General features: G+C 36.6%; 1 protein-coding gene across 9 annotated transcripts in view, besides 2 other annotated features; it reads right to left on the reverse strand.

Moving 5' to 3' along the window:
* The window catches only part of KIFAP3 (kinesin associated protein 3), a 163856-nt gene extending 149185 nt beyond the window's left edge, over positions 1 to 14671 (reverse strand). For 6 of the 9 annotated variants that reach the window (NM_001204516.2, NM_014970.4, NM_001375830.1 and 3 more), the window contains exon 1: positions 3923 to 4182. In NM_001204516.2, the coding sequence (NP_001191445.1) occupies positions 3923 to 3954 (32 nt within the window). In that variant the 5' untranslated portion in view covers positions 3955 to 4182. Of the gene's footprint in view, positions 1 to 3922; positions 4183 to 14521 lie in introns of those variants that run through there. The other 3 variants (XM_024454186.2, XM_047449531.1, XM_047449537.1) reach the window with 1 other exon arrangement.
* Positions 3991 to 4050: an enhancer, noted in NCBI's record as "active region_2082". NCBI's record gives its function as "activates an Ori minimal core promoter by ATAC-STARR-seq in GM12878 lymphoblastoid cells {active_cell/tissue: GM12878}" and the evidence as "EXISTENCE:reporter gene assay evidence [ECO:0000049][PMID:35858748]".
* Positions 4111 to 4410: an enhancer, noted in NCBI's record as "active region_2083". NCBI's record gives its function as "activates an Ori minimal core promoter by ATAC-STARR-seq in GM12878 lymphoblastoid cells {active_cell/tissue: GM12878}" and the evidence as "EXISTENCE:reporter gene assay evidence [ECO:0000049][PMID:35858748]".

Raw genomic sequence — 24416 nt, forward strand, 5'->3', positions numbered from 1 at the left:
TCAAAAAAATTGCCCAAACCATTCATGGAGGAAAAGAACAGTCAATTGTTCTTTTCTGACATTTGTTCTGACAAATGATGTCAGAACAACTAGATAGTCACATATAAAAGAATGAAGATGGACCCTTGCCATATACCATAGACAATAACTAACTCGAGATGGATCAAGGATATTAAATGTAAAAGCTAAAACTGTAAAACTCTTAGAAGAAAACAGAGGGACAAACCTTCATGACCTTGGATTTAGCAGTGGTTTCTTAAATAACGATGCCAAAAGCATGAGCAACAAAAGAATAAATTAGACTTCACCAAAATTAAAAATGTTTGCATATGAAAGTTTTACATACCAAGATAGTGCAAAGAAAACCCACAGAATGGGACAAAGTATCTGTAAATCATGTATCTGACAAGGTTCTATTACAAAGAACTCCTTTTCCCAAAGAATAAAGACAAATGGCCAAGAAGCACATGAAAAGCTCAATGTCATTAGTAATTAGGGAAAGGCAAATCAATACCAAAATAAGATACCATTTGATATCCACTAGTATAGTAATAATTACAGAACAGAAAATAACAGGTGTTAGTGAGGATACGGAAAACTGAATTCTTATACATTGCTGGTGGGAATGTAAAATGGTGCAGTCACTAGGGAAAACACTTTAGTGGTTCCTCAATGAATTAAACATAGAATTACCATATGGTCTGGCAATTCCAGGCCTAGGTATACACCAAAAGATACAAAACAAGTGTTCAAACAAAAACTTGTACAGTAATGTTCACAGCAGCTTTATTCCCAATAGCCAATAGGTAGAAACAACCCAAATGTCCACCACCAGATGAGCAATAAACAAACAAAATGTGGTATATCCATAAAATGGAATACTGAATTAGTCAATTTTATGTTGCTATAACACAATACCTGAGACTAGGTAATTTATAAGGAAAAGGGGTTTATTTAGCTTACAGTTCCGCAGGCTGGGAAGTTCAAGGGCATGACTCTGGCTTCCAGTGAGGGCTTTTGTGCTTCATTATAACACAGTGGACAAGATCAAAGGGGAAGTGAGAAAAGAGAATACCCAAGGGTCTTCCTGGCTTTATAACAACCAACTCTAGAGGGAACTAATCCATTCCCAAGAGAGCTAATCCAGTCTCACTAGAGCAAGAATTCACTCACTCCAGCAAGAACAGCACCAAGCCATTCATGAGGGATCCACCCCCAAAACTGAAACACCTCCCAGGCTCCAGCTCCCAACACTGCCACAATGGGGGACCAAGTTTTAACATGAGCTTTGGTGGAAACGAACTATATCCAAACCACAGCAAATATTATGCAGCTATATAAAGGAATGAAGTACTGATACATGCTACCACACAGATGGACCTTGATATACCATGTGAGAAATGCTTGACACAAAAGCCACACACTTTTTTCATATAGCACTCATAAATACAATAAATATCAGTATATTTTAAAGTCTGTATTACTTGCTAGAGTGTAAATGCCATGAAGGCAGGGAATATATTTATGTTTCATTTACCAAATATGTTTTATCACTTGGCTTAATGACTTTTACACAGTAGAATCTCAACTATTAAATGAATGAACAAATGTTGTTCACTTTTAATATCCTTCAATAGTTCACCAATGCACTCAAAATAAAGTCTCAACTCTTTACTAAAGCGCTTAAGTCCCATATGATTTGGCTCATATTTCTTTCTAGTCTTATTCTGACTTTACTTAATAATCTATGTTTCAGGCACCTTGCTGAGTGCTGGGAATACAATGGGAAGTAAGATAGACACATAGCACCTACCTTTATGAACTTTATAAACCAGAAGGAAATATAAAGTAGTAAGTTTAGGGAAAAACAAGGTATTAAGTATCATGAGACCCTAACAGGTATACCTGACCTGGATTGTGAGGTGGGAAAGGGAAGTTCAGGAAAGCTTTCTGGAAAAAGTGGTATTTATGTCAAAACAGGAAAGATGAGGAATTAGCGGGGCAAAGAACAGGGCAAGTTCCAGATAAAGGAAGGGCATGTAAGAATCAAACACCAAAACACATAGAGATTCAAAAAAAATTATTTTTGTAAAACCAAAATATGGAATTACTCAGGTAGGAAGGGACTGAAAATATACTGCTATCTGCTGTCTTGTTAAAAACAAAATATAAAAGTAAAAATATTGTTAAAGAATATATGTAATCATGGTCAAAAAACAATAATTAAAATTGAAGGTTCTATCAGACATCACAAATGTTTTCCATCAGGCCTGTATAAATACATGTCTCCTGTATGCTTCTAGTCTGAAAACAGACAATTCAAACTTTTTATTATTTATAGTAAAAATTAGATGAAATTGAGAAATGTATTTTTCAACCTTTTCAGACTCTAATCTCATTTTACTTCAAACATTACATTGACTGGCTTGGTTTTAATTTTGGAACTCTAGATAGTATGTATTTAAAAGCAAACAATAGGTTGAGAATTATAAGTCACAGTATGCCTCAGTGTCCATACTGGTACGATAATGTTAAGAAAAACTACCTCTGACACAAATATATTACATGAAAATCAGCTAATGGTATAACAGCGGCTCTTTGTTCCAGAACAATTTTGAATTTAAAGTTAAAAGGCAATTTATTTTCTTCTGTCACAAAATTTTTAACCAAGGTATTTTAAAAACCAACGTTAAGTAAAATTCAGTGAGGAAATAAACACTGATGTAGGCTTATATATTCATTTAAAAATTTTTACTGACAAAGTCTGGCTATTTGCCAGTTTCAGATATATTTACATAAAATAAAAAAGACAGTCAATATATGCCTGTCTTGCCAGGACAATAGAGTTGATTTATTTATTATACAATTGTTTGAATCCCTTCTATGAGTCTACTAACACTTGGAAGATCTTTCTGTGATGATGAGAGCTCAGCCAAGCCAGAATAAAAATATTCACTGCAAGTGTATTATGACTTGAAATAATACCACCACCTTACATTCATGTTTCATTTTTTAAAAGTATTTCATCTTTCGTCCTTGTATCTCTCAGAAGGTAACGCCTGTCCCATTTTCAGATGAGGAAACCGTGCCCAAAGGAATACATGCGACTTTTCCAGGGTATTTACTGAATCAGTACTGAATTAAAATTTTTTTCTATTGGATCACTGCTTACTCTTGGTTCAGTGGGAGGTATCTTTTTTTTTTTCCAAATCAGGAATGATCTGAGTATTTGCCAGCACCCAAATAATCCCAACAGACTACAATTTTTTTGAGTAACTGATACTATATTTAAAAGAAATTATGGCCTATTTTATTGTCATCAAACTTCTGAACAAACCTCTTAATAATTACTAAATGTCCTACAAAAATTATGTTGTATACATGGGAGTCAAATGGATGACATGGATGCGGAAAGCAGAAAGAGACTGGAAATCAACATCTCAATTCAGCCTTCCAAAAAGTAGAATCCACCACTTCTTTCCCCTTCATCATTTCAAAAGCCCATGGCAATGAACCCCAAACTGAGGCCTGAGGGCGGATGCACCAGACTTTATTCCCAGGCTCTCATGGGATTTATCTATTATGGGAAAATGGAGAGTCTGGGAAGAGGCGAAAAAAAAAACAAAAGACGCGGTTTACCTTGCCCTACCTCCCTCTCCCCCTGGAATAAGGTGATGTAGCGAAGAAACCATCTTTCAATGCTGTCAGGGCTCCGCCGAGTCAGGTCAAAGGACTTTGAAACCCCCCCAGAGCTCTCCTTTTTTCTCCACTTCACCTTTTCCCTCTCCTTTCGGTGACTTCTCTCCCTGCTTCCCATCCCGTCTGCTAAACTAGCGTTGCCCAGTGACATCTCACAGCCAACCCAAGAACATCTTCAGGGCCCTGGCAAGGAGGGTAGGACAGAGCCTTGGGGAGTCGTCACCTTTTGAGGTATCTGGCGTCCTCCCCTTGCATGGCGGCAGCGGCAGCGGCGTGGAGAGGATGGGGTATCTTGAGAGGCAGGCGCGGTTATTTCCGGGGACGGTGGCCAAAGTACCCTCACACCCAGAGGCGATGACAGTCCTGAGGCCTGCAAGGCGGGGCAGCAGCGGCGCTGTGGTTACCACGGTGAAGCCTCCAGCTCCTCCCACAGCTTCTGTGCCCCAAAACACTGGAGCGGCCCAGACCCGCCCAGAGTCGCCTAAGCCGGGCCGTCACGACGCATGCGCTTGCTCTGCACCTCTTGTATGCGCAGGCTCAGTCTGAGGCGGTGGCCTCAGAGTTTGACGCACCGGGGAGCCGAGCAGGGAAGTTTTGGTGCAGTTTTGAGCGTCCGTGTATAAGGAGTGGCTCCGTAGTCACCGCCCCCTTGAGGATGGGAATAGAAAGGGCTGTCAGGTCAGCTTGAAAGGAGAGAGGGGAATCCGATAACCTTTTAGTTAGCGAATGCTATACAGCAGTCCAGCTAATAAGGGAGGTTTCTATTTGGGGGCCTGAATGGCCCTGATTGCACTTACAAGCTCTAACTTATGGAGATAATCTGACCGTTGTACAAAATGGATATAACTTTGAAGGCGGCAAGTCTGTCACTTTGATGTCTTAAATCTAGAATACACCTCCCCCAACCAAAACAAACAAACAAACAAACAAACAACAGCAACAAAAAACAGTTCCTGAAATTCCAACTCCACCAATTATCCTGAACTCAAGGTATGTTTAGAATTGCTTCTTCTGAGGCAGGCAATTGTTAGCAGTGCAGGGCATAGGAAAGAAGGGTTCTTTTTTAACTGCATGTTCTCTGGTTTAAGATCTATTCCCATGGGTTCAGCTATTATGTCTATGCAAATGATATAGGTTCATTTATTTGGTAAATGTGAATTGAGGGCTGGCTGTGTGCCAAACACCAAACCAGGCTCTAGGGATGCAAAGAAAGCACCTCTACTCCCCCTGCTCACCTATAATCTTGTCACTTATTCACTGTCTTCTAGTCCTGTTTTCCCAGTTGCTTTGAGACGTGCACGTAGTTGCTCTGCTGCTTTTTTCAAATGTAGTACATTGATGCAATTATTGATTATCCGTTATGTGTAAAACACCATGTTAAGGCACTGCATGGTATATTAAATATAGAAATACAGTCCTTACCCAACAAAATATATTTTTATCTTCCCACCCATTCACACCAGCTACACTATTTCTGTAGATGTTATAGTCATTCTTTCATTCTGAAAGGGAAGAAAATTTGCAGCTAATTTTGACTCCTTCCTCTGTATCATGCCCTCTTACTAAAGTGTTACAAAATTCTATCTTTTCTTCCTTCAAGATATTCAGGTAGTCCAGTTTTTTTCTACATTCTTACTTCTACCAATAGTCTAATCACTTTATACCTAGAGTACTGCAATTCCTTCCTCATTGGACTTCCTATTTTTTGTTTTTCTAAATATTAATTCTGCAAACTAATGTAAAATTTTACAAATTATCATTTATAACACCTTTAATGGTAATATAGCAGGCTAGATTACTTTAAAATCTTCACAATACGTAAAATTGGAAGACCAAAATATACATTAAAATGCATAGATAATATAACAAGGATTTTTGGAATGTAAGTTAGCTCCTTGAGCTCAGAGAACTTATTTCGTTCACTTTTGCATTCAGCCCATAGTTGTCACTGAATAAAAATTTTGGTGTTGAAAAAATGCAAACCTGAGCTTGAAAAAACAATAGCAACAACAACAACAAAAAAACCTAAAGAAAATGCCCAGAGGCCAGAAAGAAAGAGAGAGCTGGAAACCAGAGCAATAAATAGATAGCTGAAACTGGGACTGAACTAGATAAACTGTCTGTCTGTGGCAGGAAAAGTACAAGATGAGCCTGGAACATTTTATGCTTGACAGTAAGGACATAGTCAGAGACTAAGAAGATAAGATTATGTAAAAAGGACACTGGTGAATTTGAGGCAATTTGGGAATCAAATGGAATTACTGGGATTGATTTAAGACATTAAATAAATAAAAAAAAGAAATCCATAATGATACTCAACAACATAGAAAAACAGGGAAAAAAGAACCCCACTTCCACTGGAGGCAACTACTGCATCAGATCTTTACTCTGAAAGCTGGTAATTAAAAGAAAGAAGGATTTAATCTAATGCTTTTGGAAATAAACCAGATTTCACCTCCTTTTAACAAGGAAAAGCTCTTCTTAACAGAAAATACCTGGTAGGAATGGAGAAAAATAATGATAGTTACTATTTTGCAAGCACCAATAAACAATGGATTCAAATAAGCCCTATTAATTTACTTTAAAATAATTTAAAGTGAGGCAAAGTTTTACCCCGCATATTTCTTTATAATTCTAAAGGAAAAGAAATGTTACTTTACAATGAGGAGATCTAGCTGTCAGCATTTTAAACAGACAAGCAAACAGCATCATTAGTGAGAGGTGAACCCAGCTGGACTTCTGGGTCGGGTGGGGACTTGGAGAACTTTTCTGTCTAGCTAGAGGGTTGTAAATGCACCAATCAGCACTCTGGGTCTAGCTAAAGGATTGTAAATGCACCAATCAGCACTCTGTACAAACGCACCAATTAGTGCTCTGTGTCTAGCTAAAGGATTGTAAACGCACCAATCAGCACTCTGTAAAAATGCACCAATCAACGCCCTGTGTCTAGCTAAAGGATTGTAAATGCACCAATCAGCACTCTGTAACACCAATCAGCAGGATGTGGGCGGGGCCAAACAAGGGAATAAAATGTCAGATTATTTTGTAAAGTTGAATAGGCACATACTCTAAATCTCAGCAATTCTACTCCTAGTTCTATACTTCATAAAATTGTTCCAAAATCATTGGAGAAGTATTGAGCTTAGTAGAAAATGAAAAACAGAAAGACAATAACAAAATACTTTTGCAGGAGAATGAATGAATACATTTGAAATATTCACACAATACAATAATATGCAGCAGAGAAAGTTGATGAACTAGAACTTTACATATGACATGGATGAATATTAGAAACATGATACTGAGTGAAAAATTGTGGCAGATTAAATACAGCATGATGCTTTATTTAAATTGCACTATAATTTAAAAACAATAACATGCATTCTTCTTGGCCTACAGTTCTCTAAGTTTTGAAAAACTCTTAAGTCATATAATTACCTGCACAATCATAGAGCAGTTCTGTCATCCTCTAAAATTCCTTTGTATCCTTTGGAGTCGCCTTATCCCCACAACCCCAGGCTCTGGTAAATACTGATCTGTTTTCTGTTCCTATAATTTTGCCTTTTCCAGAACGTCATCTGAATGTAATGATAGGCGCTGTAGCCTTTTGAATCTGGTTTCTTTCATTTAGCACAATGCATTTGAAGACAATCCATTTTGTTTTTCGGTCCTGTTTTTTTTTTTATTGTTAAGTACTATTCCATGGTATGAATGTACCATAGTTTATTCATTCACCAGTTGAAAGACATTTGAGTTGCTTCTAGCTTTTGGCAACTATGAATAAAGCTACTAAAAATATTTACATACAGATTTTTGTGTTAGTTAGTATTCTTTACTCCTGTTCAGTTATCTAAGAATAGGTTTACTTAGTTGTATGGTAAATATATGAATGACTGTACAAAACCACCAAACTGTTTTCCAAAATGAATGCCGTTCTGCATTTCTACCAACAATGTATGAGTTCAGATTTAGTCACATCCTTTCCAGCACTTGGTATTTTGTTTTTTTTTTAAATTTGTCTGTTTACTCTCATCATTCTAATAAGTGTGCAGGGCTATCTCACTTGATTTTAATTGAATTTCCCTGATTATTAATGGTATGAGCATATTTTCATATGTTTAATTACCATTTCTATACCATTTTTGAATTCTCTTCAAATTTTTTGTCCATTTTTAATTTATATTTTTGCCAGACTGATAAACTGAGCACAGAGATATCAACAGTTAAGTAGATAAAGAGGACAAATTACTAATATCTGAAATGAAAGAAGGGACATCATTCAGATTCTACAGGTATAAAAATGATAATTTGAAAATTATGAACAACTTTATACTAATAAATTTAATGACTTAAATGAAATAAGCAAATACCTTGAATGATATTTATTAAGATGGTGACAAGAACAAAGAGAAAATGTTAAAGCTCTTTATCTCTTAAAGACATTGAATACCTAATGACAATATTTCCCACAAAATACACTTCAGACACAAATAGCTTCACTTATGCATTCTACCAAGCAAGTAATTAAGATAATGTCAATTTAGATACTTTCTGAAAATATAAAATGAAAGCATATCTACCAATTAATTTTAAAAGGTCAGCATTATCCTGATATCAAAATTAGAAAATGGTATTACAAAATAAGAGCTACAAATATCCTTAGTGAACATATGTGCAAAACTCTTTAACAAAATATTAGCAAATCAAACCAGCATACATAAAAAGAATGCTATGACCAAATGGGGTTTATCCCAGGAATGCAAGGTTGGTTTAATACATGAAAATCCAATAATTAATTTGCCATATTGCTATATAGTTTGCATACTTGACCCTCCAAACCTTATGTTAAAGTTTGATCTCCAATGTTGGAGACAGGGCCTAATGGGAGATGTTTGGGTGATGCAGACAGATCCCTCATGGATGACTTTATACTGTCCTTGTGGTAATTAGTGAGTTCTTGCTCTATTAGTTCCTGTGAGAGCTGGTTGACAAAAAGAGCCTAGCACCTCCCCCACCTCTTGCCTCCTATCTTGCCATGTGATCACTGCACATGCTGGCTCCCTTTCCCCGTCCATCTTGAATGGAAGCAGCCTGAAGCCCTCACCAGAAGCAGATACTGGCCCCCTACTTCTTGTACAGCCTGAAGAACAATGAACCAAATAAACTTTCTTTATAAATTACATAATCTCAGGTATTCCTTTATAGCAACACATATGAACAAAGACACATATTAACAATATAAAGGTAAAAAATCATATGGTCATCTCAACAGAAGCAGAAAATTAATATAATGGAATTCATGATTTTAAAAAACTATTAGCAATCTAAGAATAGAAAGTGACTTCTTCACCCTAATAAAGCATACTTATATGGGTTTACTTCTGGGTTCTCTATTCTGTTTCATTGATCTATCTGTCTTTTTCATGCCAGTATAATACTGTTTTAATTACCATAGCTTTGTAATATATTTTGAAATCAGGAAATGTAATGCCTCAATCTTTCTTCTTTTTCTCAAGATCATTTTGGCTTTTTGGAGTTCTTTGTGGTTCCATATGGACTTCAGGGTTTTTTTTTTAATATTTCTATTAAAAGAATGTCAATGTATTTTGATAGAGATAGCATTGAATATGTAAATTGCTTTGGCTAGTATGGATTTTTTTTTAACAATATGAAGTCTTCCAATCTATAAACAAGGGATGTCTTTCCATTTATTTGAATAATTTTGGTAGAATTATCCCTACGTATTTATTGTTTTCAGGTGATATTATCAGTGGTGTTTGAAAAACCATATAGATTGGAAAGGAAAAGTAAAACTATTTTGATTTACAAATAAAAAGCTACTAGACCTAATAATTAGTAATATCATAGAATATAAAGTTACTACAAAAATCAATTGCATTGACTTATACTAGCAATGAAAAATTGAAAAATAAAATTTATAAACACCATTGATAATACCACCAGAGAGCAATAAATATGTAGGGATAAATCTACCAAAATTTGTTCAAGACCTATGCACTGAAAACCATGAAACAGCACTAAGAGAAATTAAAGATGCCCTAGGAAAATGGAAAAGTGTGTCATGTCTATAGATTGAATGATTCAATATTATTAGAACATCAATTTTACTCAAATTTATCTATAGATTCTATATAACTCCAATCAAATACTAGCAATTTTTTTTTACAAATTGACAGGTTGATTATTTTATATGAAAATGCAAAGGACCTCTAAGAGTTTACACAATTTTGAAGAACAAATTTGAAAGGCTTCATGATTAAAAGACCTACTATAACTTCATTAGTCAATTCAATGTGTATTGGCATAAGGATATACATATACATAGATTAATGGAAGAGAATAAAAAATAAAGAATAGAAAGAGAATGACTCACTTATGGTTCAGTTAACTTTTCAGATAATTTCTTAAAACTTTTTAAAATTCACAGAAAGTTGCAGAAACGGTGCAGAGATATCTAGGTACCTTCACCTAGTTTCACCCAGTAGTTACATCTTCCATAAATGTATTGTAATCAGAAACCCAAAAACTGATATCAGTACAATGTATGTATATAATTCTATGCCATTTTATCATGTGTGTAAATTCCTGTAACCACTACCTCAATCAGTATCTAGAATTATTCTGTCACCACAAAGATCTACTGAAATTTACATTTCATTGGATTGAATGAAGTGTAGAAACTGCATCTCCCTTTGTCAGTTTACTCTCTTCCATTTTTAATAAAATTATCTTTAACATTTCCTTTATGTACATTTAGAACTATATCAGTGTTATCATTTTGCTTTAATCATAAAACAATTTAGAAAACTTAAGAGAAGGAAGGTCTATCACCAAAATTTAAAACTTCCCTTTGAAAGACACCATTAAGAAATGAAATGGTAAGTCACAGACTGAAAGTATTTGCCATAAATCTATATGACAAAATAATTGTATTCATGATATAAAGAGAACTATTACAAGTCAACAAAAAATCTAAATGACCTAACTAAAAATGAGCAATTAATTTACAAAAATGTCATAAAAGGAGATACATCTCTAGCTAATAAGCACATAGTGACTCAACTTTATTAGTTATCATGGAACTGGAAATTTAACCACAGTGAAATACACTATTATACACCTATATTAGTTTTCTATTGCTGCAGTAACAAATGGTAACAAACTTAGTGGCCTAAAACTTAAATTTATTGTCTTACAGTTCTGTAGATCAGAAGTCTGCAATGAATCCCACTGAGTTAAAAATCAAGATACCAAGAGGGCTTTACTTTTTTCTGGATGCTTTAGAATAGAATCAGTTTCCTTGCCATTTTCAGCTGTTACAGGCCATCCACACTCCTTCACTGATGGCCTCTTTCCTCCATCTTCAAAGCCAGCAACAGTGGCCCAAGTTCTTTTCATTATTGCCATCTCACAGGTCCTTCTTCTCTTATCACATCTCTCTATGACCACAGCCAGGAAAGGTTTTCCACTTTTAGGGATGCATGTGGGCCCCACTGGATAATTCAGGATAATCTCCCCATGTTAAAGTAGGTCCTTAACTTTAATCACATCTATCAAGTTCCTTTTGCCATGTAGGTAATATATTTACAGGTTCCAGAGATGGGATGTGAGCACCTTTTTTTGTGGGGGTGGGTGAGAAGGGTGGGAGCATTATTTTACCTGCCACAATACCTACCACCATAATGATTAATATTAAATTGTCAGACAATACCAATTGGTGGTAAGAATGTGGAGCTACTGGAGTTCTAATACTTGTGAGAATGCAAAATGGTACAACCTTTTGGAAGACAGTTTTATAGTTTCTTCAACAGTTAAATGCATATTTACAATACAACCAGCAATTCCACTCCTATGTGTCTACCCAAGAAAAATGAAAACATATGTCCACAACAATTGCTCACAAATGTTCATGGTAGCTTTATTAATAATGACAGAAAACTTGAAACAACCCAAATGTCTATTAACATGTCAATTGATACAAATTGTGGGATATTCACACAATGGATACTACTTAGCATCAAGAAAAATCAAAACTACTGATATATGCAACATAAATAAATCTTTAAAAACCTCATTATGACGAAAGAACCATATGGTTTGATTCCATTTATAAGAAACTCTTGAATAGAAAAAAAGCACACCCCGATCTATTATGACAGAAAGTAGATAAGTGGTTGCCTTGTGCTAGTGATAGAGGGTGGATAGACTGCAGCCAGGCTGGAGGAAACTTTAGGGTAATGGTCACCCATGTGAATACAATTATTAAAACTCATCAAGCTGTATACTTGCATTCATTTTATTGCATGTAAATTTTAAAAATTTTGTATAAAAATAAATTATACTTTCTCTTTGTTGTATATAAATTATTTCCTAATGTGATTGTTTTAAAAGATATAATGAGCAAGGAAAAAAGTAGTAAGCCAAATGGGTGGATTAAATAGCATATTAAACACAGTTGGCCGGGCATGGTGGTTTATACCTGTAATCCCAGCACTTTGGGGGGCCAAGGTGGGAGGATCAGTTGAGGTCAGGAGTTCGAGACTAGCCTGGCCAACATAGTGAAACCCCATCTCTATCAAAAATACAAAAATTAGCCAGGTGTGGTGGGGCATGCATTTAATCCCAGCTACTTGGGAGGCTGAGGCATGAGAATCGCCTGAACCCAGGAGGCAGAGGTTGCAGTGAGCTGAGATCATGCCACTGCACTCCAGCCTGGGCAACAGAGCAAGACTCTGTCTCAAAAAATAATAATAAAATAAACACAGTTGAAGAGAAAATTTGTAAATATTAAGAGGAAATAATACAACACAGTGTGATAGAGAAAACCAGTTCTTAAAAAGGGGTTAAGGGATGGGAAGGATAACATGTAAAGATCCATAAGCTTTTAATATGACTGCTGGAAAAAAAGAATAGAGAGGCTAGAGACAAGCCAATATTTAAGACTGGAAAACATCCTGAGTTAATCAAAGACGTGAATCCCAAGCAGGATAAATAAAACAAATTCATTACTGAAATTAGAGAATTCCAAAGATAGAGATCTCAGAAGCCATCATCAGTTAGTAATTTTTTGTGTGCTAATTTTTCATTTCTATTTCGTTCTCATCTCCCAAACGGGTTATAAATTGTTGAGTGAAGAAACCAATCTCATTCAGCACTTGGACTTGCATTATTCTGTGGTGTAGTGGCTAAGAACCTGAATTCTTCTGGAGTAAGAACTTGGTTAGTGTGCCTGTTCTACCGCTTATTTACTTTTGACCTTGGGCAAGTTAAACTCTGTAATGTTCAATTTTCTCATCTGTAAAATAGGGGTAATAGTCTTTATGTCCTAGAGTTATTGTAAAGTTAAATGAGATAGCATACATAAATTTGTACCAGTGTATTTATCACATTAAGGGCAGCAATTGATATTAGCTGGACCAGGTGTTTGCAAACTTAGTTAATTTATTACCTACCTACCATTTATTAATTACCACCTGCCATTTATTAATCATATGACTACTCACCCACATATCCCTTATTAATTATATGACTCTAGACAAGTCACTTAAGCACTCTGTGTGTACTTCATTTAGAAAAATTGGGGGAAATACCCATATTGCCAAAGATTATTGCAAGGATACGAAGAGTTGATATTTTGTTAGAATCTTATAAATTTTAAAGTTACATGAAAATGATGATGTTATTATTATTTCAACTTTATTCTTAAATTTGTCAACTGTATTTTGAATACTAGCCACAGCGGGGTGTTTAAAAGTACTGAGAAAAGTGATTGCTGCCTCACAATTTTATAATTTGACAGGAGAGAAAGAGTACAAAGATGCCTAACACCAATGACAGAATCATTTAAAGACGAATAATCCCAATGATACACCAACATGGCTAAAGATGGTTTCTGAGGGCTTTAGAGATATAGGAGTCAGTCTGGGTTGCATTGGGAAGCCTTTTGTTAATACCACAGTTTGTTCCATCAAGCAAAACTCTTTTTCCTAGAAGCCTTTTGTAAGCTTCAGATGCAGTACAGTGCCTTCTCTGTTCTACTGCATATACTGTACTTTATGTGCATTATTTGTTTATACCTCTATCCTCTCCAATAAGAGGGATTAAAAAGGCATAAAATCATGGATGTCCAATCACAGTGCATGGCACGTAGTACTAACACAATAAATGGCAACTGCTGCTATATCAAATACAGTTACTGCCTTCAAGGAGCACATGAACTAGTCACTAGGTATATAAACAAATAATTATTGACTATATTAATGCTTTCATAATAGCAGCATGACACAAGTAGGATGCTGGCACAAAAGGGAATAATCCACTTATCTTGGAGGATAGAGACTCACAGTAGGACTCACAAAAGCTGAATAAAATTTTGCTTAGCAGAGAGCATAACAGGGATATTATAGAGAAAGGCAATAGTACATACAAGGACACAAAAGTATGAAATATCATGGTACAGTTAAGTAACTGTATGTAGTTTGAGACAGAATTAGTTTTGGGTGGAATGGCATGCAAAATAAGTTGGGAAAAGACAGCAGGGGCAAGATCATGGAGAACCTGGTATACGAGAACATGGTATTTGAATATTTCCTGCAGGCATGAGGACCCATTGAAGAATTTTAATATAGGAAAGTTGTATGCTAAGATTTATTACTTTCAGCAATATTCGTTTCTCTATATTTTATCCACACAGCAACGGAAAACAGAGGGGTTAGAATTACATTTTAAAAATACTCCAAATGTGTTGTTTATACATTTCAATCCTGATTTGCTTCAACAGTACATAGAAAATCTTTCTTACCTTGTGATTGCCTTTGGGATGCCATCAAATGGCCAGTGGGGCCCAAGGAGCCCATATCCACTGGCTATCAATGCCATTATCCTGCCACCTTTCCAATTAGTTTGAGCTCATGTAGCACATCTTAATACAAAGGAGATTTCAGTTAAAAGGACCCTTTAAAATAATTCTCTTCCTGGTGGTGGTAACCACTGTTTCAACTAGTATGACGTAAGACAATAACTATGACATCACTGGGTTGCTCCTAGGATCAGGAATGGGGCGTGGCCCACTAGGATAATGAATAATGAATTCCTGTGCTTTTTTCTTTCACCAGATTCTCTTATAGTCTGAATAATACTTTGAGAAAATAGTCATGCAATATGCCAAACTGATGAACCTTAAAGACACAGTCAAATGAATGTGTTATTCAGTATGAATAATAGAGGTGTATTTAGTCACTTAACACCCATATGTGCACACACACACACATCTGTATTTGTGAATTCGTATATGTGGATTTATACATGTATGTTCAAGTGGAAGTTCCTTGCAGGAGAGCATAGCTACTGTTATGCTTTCATGTGTATTCCTTTGCAGAGATGCACATAGCATGGTGAGGAAGGACTATCATCTGAGTGTATCCAGCCATATCAGCTGTATTTATTAATTTAAACAAAATTTATGAGCAGGTATTGCTTTAGATTTGGGTATGGAAAAATGAATAGACACAGTTTTTGACTTGAATAGTTGTACCCAAATTCAGTAGGGATATACACAAAGTGAGCAGATAAATGAAATTTAAAGTCATATATTCTGTGGTAGAGCTATAATGTGTCTCTATAGAAATCAAGGAGATGACTGTGGAATTGTTAGATACTTAATGCCGATTAGCAACAAGGCACTCTCCTAATTACTGAAGCTATAAGAAGCATAAGGTACAGATCTTATCCTACAGGAGTTACAGATCTAAGAATAGGCAATCAGGGAACATGTAATTGATGTCTCAGCCATATTTCCCACACACAGATAATCCCTAGTCAAGTTTATTTTCTTCCTGGACTCTGCTATTTTCAACTGTTCCTATCTATTAATTTTGTTCTTATAAAGAAGATGGTATATCATCTCTTTTCAATTTATAAACTCACAACTCATAAACTCGCAGTGATAGAAATTACATTTGAGTTACAGATATGAAGGGGATCAGATCTCTCATTCAATATACATGTGTTTGGTGCATATTAAGCATTTCAGGCACAATTTGGAGCTAAAGTAGTAGCCCCAAAGATCATTTGACAGGATGGGATAAATTCAGGCAATGGCTTTATATTAGCATCCAGGGTTTCCTGCAAAATCTTAGGAGCTCCTTCTTCACCTCTTTAAGAAGAGGTATTGCCATAACAAAAGTGTTTGTGACATATCCTCAGAACCAGAGCTGCCGGTTCATTCCAGATTAGTTCCTGGTAACCGCCAACTGGCAATAATAACTTTGAAGTTGGATACAAAATATGATCTATGCTTCCAGGGTTGAAATATATTTTGTTTTAATGGGTGACATAATTTCAGCTTTTTAAGTATGGGGCCAAAATTAAATCATGCCATTTAAAAAATTTGACTTTAAAAATTTTACCTTTTGTATTCCTTTTCTTCCCTCCCTCCCTCCTTCCTCCCTCTCTCCTTCCCTTTTTTATTCCTTCCTTCCTTCCTTCCTTCCTTCCTTCCTTCCTTCCTTCCTTCCTCCCTCCCCCCCTCCCTCCCTTTCTTCCTTCCTTTCCTTCCAATAGCACATGTGTTATAGAAATAACTGCATATTGGAAATAGAATTGTTTCCAATTTTGGAAATTTTCTCCCAAACCCATGTCTCTTAAATATTGTCATCACTATATCAGGAAAGGAAGCAGATATATATCAAGGATCATGAGAAATGGTGGAAATAAATCAGAATTTTTCCTGTGTTTGTTAGTGATGAAACATTTAAAAGTCATTTTTAGTTCACACCTCATTACCTTGTTCACATTGCCTATTTTATTTTATTTTTTAAAGGGAGAGGTAGAAAATAAAATGCTGGTGCTTGCAACTCAGTCCTCTTCCTGCCTATCCTTCTCATTGGTGTACGAATTTTTTTTTCCAAATGAGTCAGACATTTGAGAGGACGTCAACATTGCTCTGAATAAAAGATGCTAGTATGCTATCAAAAAAACCCAAAACAAAATAAACAAAATGTTGCTTGTCCTCTTTACATTTGAAGACATTTATTCACATAGCTCTCCTCAGGACATGGTGATGTGTGTTTCTCTTTAAATGGTCTCTTGACTGAAACTTATCATAAAATTTCCACAGTAACCAAGTGGATATAGTGATGAAAATTATTTCTTATGAACGAAGGAAGCATTCACAGCATAAACATTTTTAGCAAGGTTGGTTTTATTTTACCTTATTAAAATATTCTCATAGGTTCCAGAATACTTTTTGTTTTCAGACCTTGAGATATTGGGTTAGGATCGATTCCAAGGTGATTTTGCTGCCAGTTCATTTGCATTTATAATACCATAAAATTGAACAAATAAGAAAAGTCTGAACTAGAAAGTCAGTTACAAACTAAAGGAACACATTCTATTCTATTTTGCTGGCCAATTTATTCAAAGCAAAGAAAAACAAAACAAAGAAGTTTATAAAAAGTGCTCATTAAATAAGTTTTGAATGGACATTTATAGAGAAGAGAAATAACCAAATAAATGGAAATTTTCTGGTATTTTGTTATATAGTAGTAGGCCTGCATTTAAATTGTTGCATGTAGGCCAATAGAGTGAAGATTATACAAAAATTGGGGCTTTTGCATTTTTTCTCTTAAATGATAGTATTCCTCATAGATATAGTAGTTGACAAGAGGAAAGATTGGATGATGGCATTTTATTTACTTCTAAAATATTTTGTTTCTATTCTATTGGTTTCTGCTGGCTCAAGAATAATATGCTTTATCGCATTAAAAAACTATGTACTTGTGTGGAGGGAAGGGGGAGAAATATTTTTTGATAGCATACTATGGGATAGGCACTAACAGAAACAAAAGTGTAAGAGGTAAAATTATCCATATTTTACTGACGAGAAAACAGAGATAGTTTGTACAAGTTATTAGTGCTTAGTTTATTTTTTATAAAATTTTATTTTACTTTTACCTTTCTATTATAAAGTAAAACACCAATACAGAAAACCACACAAGTCAGAGGCAAAGTTAGTGAATTTTTATAAGGCAAACACCCTAGTAACCAGATCAAGACACAGAACTGTATCAGCCACCCCAGAAACACCTTCATGTGCCCCTCCCAATGTTAACCCCTTTCATCTCTTCAAAAGTAATCACTATCCTGACTTTGATACCAGTGACATCTCTGTTTTCCTTTAGGTTAAAACCCATGTGTGTAGCTCTAGAAATTACAGTTTAATTTTGCTCCTTTTAATCTTGATATGTCTGTTAAGTCTCTTTTAATTTAAATATTTCTCCTCTATCCTTTTGTTTTCCTTAGAATAAATCTGATTAAGAACCAACTCTATTTGACCTATAATGTTTCCAAATTCTGGATGTGCTGATTGCATGCTTATGATGGAGTTTATTATATTTTTCTTGCAAATATGTGTTTTATGCTAATCATCAGCTGAATCCGACGGCTCAATTAGACTCACGTATGATGATTTGGGTAACATAAAAAGTGGTGTTGTATTATTTACTCAGGGAACGCAGAGTAACTGATGTTTACTTCTTTTTGGCGTCAGCAACCACTAATGGTCAAGGCCACCAGTATTTATGCAATGTTTCTGTGGTCATTTTGGTTGTCTGAAGCTCATTCTCTAGTTTATTCCTTAGGAAGTACTCAGAGGAATAATATTTCTTGAGGTCTTTCATGTGGATAATAGTTGTCTGTGCTTTTTATATTTGAAGATCAGCATTAACTGTATATAAAATCCATGGCTCACATTTTCTTTCCTTAAGTACCTTAAATATGCTACTCTATTTTTTTTTTTCTGGCAGAAAGTGTTGCTGTTTAACAGTCTTGATAATTTAATTTCCTTTCCCTTATAATCATATATTTTTTTTTGCCTAGAAGACCAAAGATTTCTTTTTTACTCCTTAAAAAAGTTCAGTAATTTTACTAGAATAAGTTCTTTTATTATTATTATTATACTTTAAGTTTTAGGGTACATATGCACATTGTGCAGGTTAGTTACATATGTATACATGAGCCATGCTGGTGCGCTGCACCCACTAACTCGTCATCTAGCATTAGGTATCTCTCCCAAAGCTATCCCTCCCCCCTCCCCCCACCCCACAACAGTCCCCAGAGTGTGATGTTCCCCTTCCTGTGTCCATGTGATCTCATTGTTCAATTCCCACCTATGAGTGAGAATATGCGGTGTTTGGTTTTTTGCTCTTGCGATAGTTTACTGAGAATGATGATTTCCAATTTCATCCATGTCCCTACAAAGGACATGAACTCATCATTTTTTATGGCTGCATAGTATTCCATGGTGTATATGTGCCACATTTTCTTAATCCAGTCTATCATTGTTGGACATTTGGGTTGGTTCCAAGTCTTTGCTATTGTGAATAATGCCGCAATAAACATACGTGTGCATGTGTCTTTATAGCAGCATGATTTATAGTCCTTTGGGTATATACCCAGTAATGGGATGGCTGGGTCAAATGGTATTTCTACTTCCAGATCCCTGAGGAATCACCACACTGACTTCCACAATGGTTGAACTAGTTTACAGTCCCACCAACAGTGTCAAAGTGTTCCTATTTCTCCACATCCTCTCCAGCACCTGTTGTTTCCTGACTTTTTAATGATCGCCATTCTAACTGGTGTGAGATGGTATCTCATTGTGGGTTTGATTTGCATTTCTCTGATGGCCAGTGATGATGAGCATTTTTTCATGTGTTTTTTGGCTGCATAAATGTCTTCTTTTGAGAAATGTCTGTTCACGTCCTTTGCCCACTTTTTGATGGGGTTGTTTGTTTTTTTCTTGTAAATTTGTTTAAGTTCGTTGTAGATTCTGGATATTAGCCCTTTGTCAGATGAGTAGGTTGTGAAAATTTTCTCCCATTTTGTAGGTTGCCTGTTCACTCTGATGGTAGTTTCTTTTGCTGTACAGAAGCTCTTTAGTTTAATTAGATCCCATTTGTCAATTTTAGCTTTTGTTGCCATTGCTTTTGGTGTTTTAGACATGAAGTCCTTGCCCATGCCTATGTCCTGAATGGTATTGCCTAGGTTTTCTTCTAGGGTTTTTATGGTTTTAGGTCTAACGTTTAAGTCTTTAATCCATCTTGAATTGATTTTTGTATAAGGTGTAAGGAAGGGATCCAGTTTCAGCTTTCTACATATGCCTAGCCAGTTTTCCCAGCACCATTTATTACATAGGGAATCCTTTCCCCATTGCTTGTTTTTGTCAGGTTTGTCAAAGATCAGATAGTTGTAGATATGCGGTGTTATTTCTGAGGGCTCTGTTCTGTTCCATTGATCTATATCTCTGTTTTGGTACCAGTACCATGCTGTTTTGGTTACTGTAGCCTTGTAGTATAGTTTGAAGTCAGGTAGTGTGATGCCTCCAGCTTTGTTCTTTTGGCTTAGGATTGACTTGGCAATGCGGGCTCTTTTTTGGTTCCATATGAACTTTAAAATAGTTTTTTCCAATTCTGTAAAGAAAGGCATTGGTAGCTTGATGGGGATGGCATTGAATCTGTAAATTACCTTGGGCAGTATGGCCATTTTCACGATATTGATTCTTCCTACCCATAAGCATGGAATGTTCTTCCATTTGTTTGTGTCCTCTTTTATTTCCTTGAGCAGTGGTTTGTAGTTCTCCTTGAAGAGGTCCTTCACATCCCTTGTAAGTTGGATTCCTAGGTATTTTATTCTCTTTGAAGCAATTGTGAATGGGAGTTCACTCATCATTTGGCTCCCTGTTTGTCTGTTATTGGTGTATAAGAATGCTTGTGATTTTTGTACATTGATTTTGTATCCTGAGACTTTGCTGAAGTTGCTTATCAGCTTAAGGAGATTTTGGGCTGAGACAATGGGGTTTTCTAGATATACAATCATGTCGTCTGCAAACAGGGACAATTTGACTTCCTCTTTTCCTAATTGAGTACCCTTTATTTCCTTCTCCTGCCTAATTGCCCTGGCCAGAAATTCCAACACTATGTTGAATAGGAGTGGTGAGAGAGGGCATCCCTGTCTTGTGCCAGTTTTCAAAGGGAATGCTTCCAGTTTTGGCCCATTCAGTATGATATTGGCTGTGGGTTTGTCATAGATAGCTCTTATTATTTTGAAATATGTCCCATCAATACCTAATTTATTGAGAGTTTTTAGCATGAAGCGTTGTTGAATTTTGTCCAAGGCCTTTTCTGCATCTATTGAGATAATCATGTGGTTTTTGTCTTTGGCTCTGTTTATATGCTGGATTACATTTATTGATTTGTGTATATTGAACCAGCCTTGCATCCCAGGGATGAAGCCCACTTGATCATGGTGGATAGGCTTTTTGATGTGCTGCTGGATTCATTTTGCCAGTATTTTATTGAGGATTTTTGCATCAATGTTCATCAAGGATATTGGTCTAAAATTCTCTTTTTTTGTTGTGTCTCTGCCTGGCTTTGGTATCAGAATGATGCTGGCCTCATAAAATGAGTTAGGGAGGATTCCCTCTTTTTCTATTGATTGGAATAGTTTCAGAAGGAATGGTACCAGTTCCTCCTTGTACCTCTGGGAGAATTCGGCTGTGAATCCATCTGGTCCTGGACTCTTTTGGTTGGTAAGCTATTGATTCTTGCCACAATTTCAGATCCTGTTGTTGGTCTATTCAGAGATTCAACTTCTTCCTGGTTTAGTCTTGGGAGGGTGTATGTGTTGAGAAGTTTATCCATTTCTTTTAGATTTTCTAGTTTATTTGCGTAGAGGTGTTTGTAGTATTCTCTGATGGTAGTTTGTATTTCTGTGGGATCGGTGGTGATATCCCCTTTACCATTTTTTATTGCATCTATTTGATTCTTCTCTCTTTTTTTCTTTATTAGTCTTGCTAGCAGTCTATCTATTTTGTTGATCCTTTCAAAAAACCAGCTCCTGGATTTGTTAATTTTTTGAAGGGTTTTTTGTGTCTCTATTTCCTTCAGTTCTGCTCTGATTATAGTTATTTCTTGCCTTCTGCTAGCTTTTGAATGTGTTTGCTCTTGCTTTTCTAGTTCTTTTAATTGTGATGTTAGGGTGTCAATTTTGGATCTTTCCTGCTTTCTTTTGTGGGCATTTAGTGCTATAAATTTCCCTCTACACACTGCTTTGAATGCGTCCCGGAGATTCTGGTATGTTGTGTCTTTGTTCTCGTTGGTTTCAAAGAACATCTTTATTTCTGCCTTCATTTCATTATGTACCCAGTAGTCATTCAGGAGCAGGTTGTTCAGTTTCCATGTAGTTGAGCAGCTTTGAGTGAGATTCTTAATCCTGAGTTCTAGTTTGATTGCACTGTGGTCTGAGAGATAGTTTGTTATAATTTCTGTTCTTTTACATTTGCTGAGGAGAGCTTTACTTCCAACTATGTGGTCAATTTTGGAATAGGTGTGGTGTGGTGCTGAAAAAAAATGTATATTCTGTTGATTTGGGGTGGAGTGTTCTGTAGATGTCTATTAGGTTTGCTTGGTGCAGAGCTGAGTTCAATTCCTGGGTATCCTTGTTGACTTTCTGTCTCGTTGATCTGTCTAATGTTGACAGTGGGGTGTTAAAGTCTCCCATTATTATTGTGTGGGAGTCTAAGTCTCTTTGTAGGTCACTCAGGACTTGCTTTATGAATCTGGGTGCTCCTGTATTGGGTGCATATATATTTAGGATAGTTAGCTCTTCTTGTTGAATTGATCCCTTTACCATTATGTAATGGCCTTCTTTGTCTCTTTTGATCTTTGTTGGTTTAAAGTCTGTTTTATCAGAGACTAGGATTGCAACCTCTGCCTTTTTTTGTTTTCCATTTGCTTGGTAGATCTTCCTCCATCCTTTTATTTTGAGCCTATGTGTGTCTCTGCACGTAAGATGGGTTTCTTGAATACAGCACACTGATGGGTCTTGACTCTTTATCCAATTTGCCAGTCTGTGTCTTTTAACTGGAGCATTTAGTCCATTTACATTTAAAGTTAATATTGTTATGTATTTGATCCTGTCATGATGATGTTAGGTGGTTATTTTGCTCGTTAGTTGATGCAGTTTCTTCCTAGTCTCGATGGTCTTTACATTTTGGCATGATTTTGCAGCGGCTGGTACCGGTTGTTCCTTTCCATGTTTAGTGCTTCCTTCAGGAGCTCTTTTAGGGCAGGCCTGGTGTTGACAAAATCTCTCAGCATTTGCTTGTCTGTAAAGGATTTTATTTCTCCTTCGCTTATGAAGCTAAATTTGGCTGGATATGAAATTCTGGGTTGAAAATTCTTTTCTTTAAGAATGTTGAATATTGGCCCCCACTCTCTTCTGGCTTGTAGGGTTTCTGCCGAGAGATCCGCTGTTAGTCTGATGGGCTTCCCTTTGAGGGTAACCCGACCTTTCCTTCTGGCTGCCCTTAACATTTTTTCCTTCATTTCAACTTTGGTGAATCTGACAATTATGTGTCTTGGAGTTGCTCTTCTTGAGGAGTATCTTTGTGGCATTCTCTGTATTTCCTGAATTTGAATGTTGGCCTGCCTTTCTAGGTTGGGGAAGTTCTCCTGGATAATATCCTGCAGAGTGTTTTCCAACTTGGTTCCATTCTCCCCGTCACTTTCAGGTGCACCAATCAGATGTAGATTTGGTCTTTTCACATAGTTCCATATTTCTTGGAGGCTTTGCTCATTTCTTTTTATTCTTTTTTCTCTAAACTTCCCTTCTCGCTTCATTTCATTCATTTCATTTTCCATTGCTGATACCCTTTCTTCCAGTTGATTGCATCAGCTCCTGAGGCTTCTGCATTCTTCACGTAGTTCTCGAGCCTTGGTTTTCAGCTCCATCAGCTCCTTTAAGCACTTCTCTGTATTGGTTATTCTAGTTATACATTCTTCTAAATTTTTTTTCAAAGTTTTCAACTTCTTTGCCTTTGGTTTGAATGTCCTCCCGTAGCTCAGAGTAATTTGATCGTCTGAAGCCTTCTTCTCTCAGCTCATCAAAGTCATTCTCCATCCAGCTTTGTTCCGTTGCTGGTGAGGAACTGCGTTCCTTTGGAGGAGGAGAGTCGCTCTGCTTTTTAGAGTTTCCTGTTTTTCTGTTCTGTTTTTTCCCCATCTTTGTGGTTTTATCTACTTTTGGTCTTTGATGATGGTGATGTACAGATGGGTTTTTGGTGTGGATGTCCTTTCTGTTTGTTAGTTTTCCTTCTAACAGACAGGACCTTCAGCTGCAGGTCTGTTGGAATACCCTGCCGTGTGAGGTGTCAGTGTGCCCCTGCTGGGGGGTGCCTCCCAGTTAGGCTGCTTGGGGGTCAGGGGTCAGGGACCCACTTGAGGAGGCAGTCTGCCCATTTTCAAATCTCCAGCTGCGTGCTGGGAGAACCACTGCTCTCTTCAAAGCTGTCAGACAGGGACATTTAAGTCTGCAGAGGTTACTGCTGTCTTTTTGTTTGTCTGTGCCCTGCCCCCAGAGGTGGAGCCTACAGAGGCAGGCAGGCCTCCTTGAGCTGTGGTGGGCTCCACCCAGTTCGAGCTTCCACGCTGCTTTGTTTACCTAAGCAAGCCTGGGCAATGGCGGGCGCCCCTCCCCCAGCCTCGCTGCTGCCTTGCAGTTTGATCTCAGACTGCTGTGCTAGCAATCAGCGAGACTACGTGGGCGTAGAACCCTCCGAGCCAGGTGAGGGATATAATCTCGTGGTGCGCCGTTTTTTAAGCCGGTCGGAAAAGCGCAGTATTAGGGTGGGAGTGACC

This window comes from Homo sapiens, chromosome 1, assembly GCF_000001405.40.
Source record: "Homo sapiens chromosome 1, GRCh38.p14 Primary Assembly".
NCBI classification, from domain to species: Eukaryota; Metazoa; Chordata; class Mammalia; order Primates; family Hominidae; genus Homo; species Homo sapiens.